The sequence below is a fragment of the Homo sapiens genome, chromosome 15 (assembly GCF_000001405.40).
Source record: "Homo sapiens chromosome 15, GRCh38.p14 Primary Assembly".
In the NCBI taxonomy this organism is placed as follows: domain Eukaryota; kingdom Metazoa; phylum Chordata; class Mammalia; order Primates; family Hominidae; genus Homo; species Homo sapiens.
The window spans coordinates 24684341-24691537 of NC_000015.10; the positions used below are offsets into that span (position 1 = coordinate 24684341).

At 45.9% G+C, this 7197-nt stretch overlaps 1 annotated feature.

Annotated features, from left to right (window-relative positions):
- Positions 2639-3243: an enhancer, noted in NCBI's record as "OCT4-NANOG-H3K27ac hESC enhancer chr15:24932126-24932730 (GRCh37/hg19 assembly coordinates)". NCBI's record gives its function as "activates a minimal SCP1, AML or CMV promoter by ChIP-STARR-seq in naive H9 embryonic stem cells {active_cell/tissue: H9 hESC(naive)}" and the evidence as "EXISTENCE:reporter gene assay evidence [ECO:0000049][PMID:30033119]".

The window sequence follows — 7197 nt, forward strand, 5'->3', positions numbered from 1 at the left end:
AGAAAGAAGGGTCAGTTGGGTGGTGCATTGAAGTAAGTGGTTCCAAAAGCAAACTAGGTCAACTTTTTAACTGGCTAGTGAAAATGAGATTCCTCAGGATACAAAAGCAAGGAGAAGACAGGAATAAATCAGGACTCCAACAGGCAGAACAGGATTTATTTAGGGCATGCAATGTGGAGGGCCCTAATGGGAACATGACAGTGTTGAGAGGAGCACATTCTCTTGGGAATGAAGCATTCCTGCAGGGAGAGTCTCTGAGACTTCCTAGCATATGTCTGCTATGCAGGTAATTACATTGTCAATCTAATGGTTTAAAAAATATTCTGGTGAGGGGAAGCATTAGTTCAAGACATGTGAGATGTAAGCAATCAACAGACCAAAAACATTGATACTTTATGGGTGTCGTAACTCCATATTACTAAATGGCCATGTTTTGCCATCTTAAAGCTACAGGGGTTCTGGGCTTCAGTACTATATGCAGAGAATATTAACACCAGACATTGGTTGTTTAAAAATGATTATCAGGCTGCGCACAGTGTCTCATGCCTGTAATCCCAGCACTTTGGGAGGCCGAAGCGGGCAGATCACCTGAGGTCAGGTGTTCAAAACCAGCCTGGCCAACATGGCGAAACCCTGTCCCTACTAAAAATACAAAAATTAGCTGGCCATGGTGGCATGAACCTGTAATCCCAGCTACTCCAGAGGCTGAGGCATGAAAATTGCTTGAACCTGGGAGGTGGAGGTTGCAGTGAGCCAAGATCAAGCCACTGCACTCCAGCCTGGGCAACAGAACAAGACTCCATCTCAAAAAAAAAAAAAGAAAAAAAAACTTGTCATCCTTACTTTATTATATTACATCCTGGCACCATTAACCATCATTTTACTGCATATAGAGAGCAACTCTATACTTCATGCAAACTACATAGACTAGCATTTGCTTTGTAAAGAGAAAGGCAGGACGATTCTCAAAATAAAAGGAAACTGGAGGAATTCTGGGGAAAAAATAGAGGAGATAAGTTTCACTCGCGTCCATGTGAAGAGACCACCAGACAGGCTTTGTGTGAGCAACAAGGCTGTTTATTTCACCTGTGTGCAGCGGGCTGAATCCAAAAAGAGAGTCAGCGAAGGGAGATCGGGGTGGGGCCGTTGTATAAGATTTGGGTAGGTAAAGGAAAAAGGGGGATTGTTCTCTGGCAGGGAGGGGTGGGGGTCACAAGGTGCTCAGTGAGGGAGCTTATGAGCCAGGAGAAGGAATTTTACGAGGTAATGTCATCAGTTAAGTCAGGAACAGGCCATTTTCACTTCTTTTGTGGTGGAATGTCATCAGTTAAGGCAGGAACCAGCCATCTGGATGTGTACATGCAGGTCACAGGGGATATGATGGCTTAGCTTGGGCTCAGAGGCCTGACATTCCTGTCTTCTTATATCAATAAGAAAAATAAAATGAAAAAGTGGTAAAGTGTTGGAGCAGCGAAAATTTTGGGGGGTGGTATGGAGAGACAATGGGCGATGTTTCTCAGGGCAGCTTCGAGCGGGATTAGGGGCGGCGTGGGAACCTAGAGTGGGAGACATTAAGCTGAAGGAAGATTTTGCGGTAAGGGGTGATATTGTGGGATGGTTAGAAGAAACATTTGTCGTATAGAATTATTGGTGATGGCCTGGATATGGTTTTGTATGAATTGAAAAACTAAAAGGAATAAGACAAGGAGAAAAACAGGTATTAAAGGACTAAGAATTGGGAGGATATAGGACATCCAATTAGAGAGTGCCTAAGGAGGTTCAGCATAGCCCTGCCAGCAAAGATTATTTATTTACTTTAAGAGGGAGTTAAGAGTGGCGGTTTGGGGCTAGCACCAGGAGATACCAGCTGTGATGGATTGCAGAAACAGTTTACTGACAGTGTAAACAAGAGCGGGGCATTTAGGAATAGTTGAGAATGGTGAATAGGAGTATGACTAGACAGAAGATAGTCATATTTGTCATGACAAGTTTTTTGGGGTGCAGTCCAAGTTGTTCTGGTGTCTGGAATGAGACTGGGACCTAATAAAAAGGAGCGTCTATGCAGGAGCTCAAATGGGCTGTACCCTGTAGCATTCTGAGGACAGGCCTGAATTCTGAGAACGACAAGTGGTAAAAGTATTGTCCAGTCCTTTTTAAGTTGGTGGCTGAGCTTGGTGAGGTGTGTTTTTAACAGACCATTAGTCCATTCTACCTCTCCTGAAGACTGAGGACGGTAAGGGATATAAAGGTTTCACTGAATACCAAGAGCCTAAAAAGCTGGTTGGGTGATTTGACTAATAAAGGCCGGTCTGCTATCAGACCGTATAGAGGTGGGAAGGCCAAACCGAGGAATTATGTCTGACAGAAGGGAAGAAATGACCATGGTGGCCTTCTCAGACCCTGTAGGAAAGGTCTCTACCTATCCAGTGAAAGTATCTACCCAGACCAAGAGGTATTTTAGTTTTCTGACTTGAGGCACGTGAGTAAAGTCAATTTGCCAGTCCTGGGCAGGGGCAAATCCCCGAGCTTGATGTGTAGGGAAGGGAGGGGGCCTGAGAAATTCCTGAGGAGTAGTAGAATAGCAGATGGAACACTGAGAAGTGATTTCCTTGAGGATAGATTTCTACGATGGAAAGGAAATGAGAGGTTCTAACAGGCAGGCTAGTGGCTTGTAACCTACATGGAAGAGGTTATGAAATGATGACAGAATAGAATGGGCCTGTGAGGCTGGAAGGAGTTATTTTCCTTGGTCTAAGAACCGTTTGCCTTGTGTGGGAAGAGATTGATAGGTGGAAGTTTCAGCAGGGGAGCAGGTGGGAGTGGCCAGATGAGAAGGAGAAAAACTGAAAGTGAGGGATGTAATTTGGAACGCTAGCTGCTTTTTTAGCTATCTTATCAGCATAAGCATTGTCCTGAGCAGTGGGATCTGATGCCTTTTGATGGCCTTTGCAGTGAATGACTCCAGCTTCCTTTGGAAGTAAAGCGGCTTTGAGAAGCGTTTTATTAAAGAGGCATTAATGATGGAGGACCCTTGCGTAGGGAGGAAATCTCTTTCAGCCCATATAACAGCATGGTGGTGCAAGATATAGAAGGCATATTTAGAGTCAGTACAAATATTGACGCGTAGTCCTTTTGCAAGAGTGAGGGCTCAAGTTAAGGCAGTGAGTTCGGCTTGCTGAGAGGTAGTGGAGGGCAGCAGAAAGTATAAGCATCAGGTGTGAGTAAGAAAATAGATTTTGGAAGTTATGAGAACGGTAGAGAGTGAGTTGAACACATTTTGTGATTCTGAGGGCCTCTAAAAGTATTAAGGCAGTGGTAGCCGCTGCACACAGACATGAGGGCTACGCTAAAACAGTAAGGTTAAGTTGTTTGGACAGAAAGGCTACAGGGTGCAGTCCCGGCTCTTGTGTATGAATTCTGACTGCACTAACCATGCCTAGGAAGGAAAGGAGTTGTTGTTTTGTAGAAGTGATTGAGGTTTGGGAGATCAGTCAGACACGATCAGCAGGGAGAGCACGTTTGTTTTTATGAGAATTATGCCGAGATAGGTAACAGATGAGGATGATATTTGGGCTTGACTGAGGTAATGGGGGCTATCTGTGAAGGCTTGTGGCAGTACAGCCCAGGTAATTTGCTGAGCCTGATGGGTGTCAGGGTCAGTCTAAGTGAAAGCAAAGAGAGGCTGGGATGAAGGGTGCAAAGGGATAGTAAAGAAAGCATGTTTGAGATCCAGAAGAGAATAATGGGTTGTGGAGGGAGGTGTTGAGGATAGGAGAGTATATGGGTTTGGCACCATGGAGTGGATAGGCAAAACAATTTGGTTGGAAAGGTGCAGATCCTGAACTAACCTGTAAGGCTTGTCTGGTTCTAGGACAGGTAAAATGGGGGAATTGTAAGGAGAGTTTATAGGCTTTAAGAGGCCATGCTGTAACAGGGAGTGATAACAGGCTTTAATCCTTTTAAAGCATGCTGTGGGATGGGATATTGGCATTGAGTGGGGTAAGGGTGATTAGGTTTTAATGAGATGGTAAGGGATGCATGATCGGTCACCAAGGAGGGAGTACAGGTATCTTATACTTGTAGGTTAAGGTGGGGGATATGAGAGGAGGAAGTGAAGGAGGCTTTGAACTGGGGGAAAAGTTGGCAATGAGGTGTGGCTGTAGCCTAGGAATAGTTAGGGAAGCAGATAATTTAGTTAAAATGTCTCGGCCTAATAAGGGAACTGGCAGGTGGGGATAACTAAAAGGAGTGCTTAAAGGAGTATTGTCTAAGTTGGCACCAGAGTTGGGGAGTTTTAAGAGGTTTAGAAGCCTGGCCATCAATACCTACAACAGTTATGGAGGCAAGGGAAACAGGCCCTTGAAAAGAAGGTAATGTGTAGTGGGTAGCCTCCGTATTGATTAAGAAGGGGACAGACTTACCTTCCACTGTGAGAGTTACCTGAAGCTCGGCATCCATGATGGTCTAGGGGGCTTCTGAGGCGATCGGGCAGCATCAGTCTTCAGCCGCTAAACTGAGAAGATCTGGGAAGGAGTCAGTCAGAGAGCACTGGGCCACAGTTCCAGGGACTCTGGGAGTGGCTGCCAGGTGAGTTGAACAGTCCAATTTTCAGTGGGGTCCCGCATAGATGGGACATGGCTTAGGAGGAATCCTGGACTGCAGGCATTCCTTGGCCCAGTGGCCAGATTTCTGGCACTTGTAGCAAGCTCCTGGGGGAGGAGGTTCTGGAGGAACGTCTGGCCGCTGCGGTTGAGGTGTTTGGAAGTTCTTGTGTGCTGGAGATGTGGCTGGGGTTTGTTTCACAGTGGAGGCAAGGAATTGCAAAATTTTTCTATTATTGTACACCTTGAAGGCGAGGTTAATTAAGTCCTGTTGTGGGGTTTGAGGGCCAGAATTTAATTTTTGGAGCTTTATTTAAAGTTGGGAGCAGATTGGGTAATGTATATTGAGAATAAGGTGGCCTTTTGACTTTTTAGGGTCTAGGGCTGTAAAGTGTCTCAGGGTTGCTACCAAACGAGCCATGAACTGGGCTGGGTTTTTCATATTTGATGAAAAAGAGCCTAAATGCTAACTGATTTGGGAGAGGTCGGATAAAGAAAAAGGAGTATTAACCTCGACTGTGCCTTTAGCTCCAGCCACCTTTTTAAGAGGAAATTCTTGGGCAGGTCAGGGAGGGCTGGTCACAGAACGAAACTGTAAGCAGGACCAGGTGTGAGGAGGGGAGGCTGAGGAAGAATTGGACCTAGCTCAGCCTGGCAAGGAGCAGCCTGGGGAGGAGGGGAGAGGTCAGATGGGTCTGTAGAAAAGGAAGATTAGAAAGACCCAGTGATGCTTGGGGTTGGGACTGAGGGAACAGGCGAGAGGCAAAGAAGGAGGATTTGGGATGAGTCACATTGGAAACAGAGACTAGGGAGGGAACAGTGTGTGAAAGAATGCCTGGACGTCAGGCACCTCAGACTGTTTGCCTATTTTACGACAAGAATTATTTAGATCTTGTAGGATGGAAAAATTGAAAGTGCCATTTTCTGGCTATTTGGAACCACTGTCGAGTTTGTATTGGGGTCAAGCGGCATTGCAGAAGAAAAGGTGTTTAGATTTTAGGTCAGGTGTGAGTTGAAGAGGTGTTAAGTCTTTGAGAACACAGGCTAAGGGAGAAGGAGGAATGGAGGGTGGAAGGTTGCCTATAGTGAAGGAAGCAAGTCCAGAGAAAAGAGGGTAGAGACACAGAGAGAAGGGATGGGGGATGCTTGCCCCCCAGGAAACTGGAGAAGGGGTAGAGACATGGAGAGAAGGGATCGGGGGTTTCCTTCCCCCCAGAAAAGCAGTACTTGCCGCTGAGGGTGACAGGACCAAGGCAGGCATCCCCACGTGGTCAGACACCTCTGAAACGTGGGTGAATAATCAGGCAGGTGTCCCCGCATGATTAAACACCAAGGGAAGACTGTCTTCCCGAGTCCGAGACTGGCGCCGGAGTTTTGGGTCCACAGATAAAACATGTCTCCTTCGTCTCTACCAGAAAAGGAAAGGAACTGAAATTAAGAGAAGGGAGAGACTGAAGTATGGTGCCAAGATTCAAAGGAGAAAGAGGTTGTGGGATAGTAACAGAGGTTGGAGAAGAGAGTAAAAAAGGCTGCTTACCAGATTTAAAAATGGTGAGATGTTCCTTGGGCTGGTTGGTCTGAGGACCAGAGGTCGTAGGTGGATCTTTCTCATGGAACAAAGAGCAGGAGGACAGGGGATTGATCTCCCAAGGGAGGTCCCCCGATCAGAGTCACAGCACCAAATTTCACTCGTGTCTGTGTGAAGAGACCACCAACAGGCTTTCTGTGAGCAACAAGACTGCTTATTTCACCTGGGTGCAGGCGGGCCGAGTCCAAAAAGAGAGTCAGCAAAGGGAGATGGGGTGGGGCCGTTTTATAAGATTTGGGTAGGTAAAGGAAAAAGGGGGGTTGTTCTCTGGCAGGCAGGGGTGGGGGTCACAAGGTGCTCAGCGGGGGAGTTTTTGAGCCAGGATGAGCCAGGAGAAGGAATTTCACAAGGTAATTGTCATCAGTTAAGGCAGGAACAGGCCATTTTCACTTCTTTTGTGGAGGAATGTCATCAGTTAAGGCAGGAACTGGCCATCTGGATGCATACATGCAGGTCACAGGGGATGTGATGGCTTAGCTTAGGCTCAGAGGCCTGACAGTAAGTGTTACTTGTTTCTCCTTCTTTTGATGATAATTGTGTTCTGCTATTTCATAAAGAAAGGTCTACATTAATTAGTTGATAATGTAATTAGTTTATTAGCCACATGTAACAAGAAATAATAGAAAAGAAAGCTTAGGGTCCACATAGGGTGGTTCAACTTACTTATAAAGGTAATTTACATCACCTATAAAGAGTACCTCTTCATCCTGGGGCTGTTGCAAGATAGTTGTATCATGCAAAAGCATCTGTTGTTCTTGCAGTCAGGAATTAGATGAAAGGGTTGAAGGCCAGGCTTATAAAAATGACTTCTCCTTGTGTCTTCACACTTTTCTCCTGTATTATTCCTGCAGTTCTGTGACCCATGCCCCCGTAGAGTAATGACAGAACATAGCACCTCTGCCTGCATGGATGCTGCCATGATAACCCTGTCTCCTTCTTACCACTGGATATGAAGATTGGCTTGATGAAATTGGGACAAATTGTTCTCCAGAATACCAGGTCCATCTT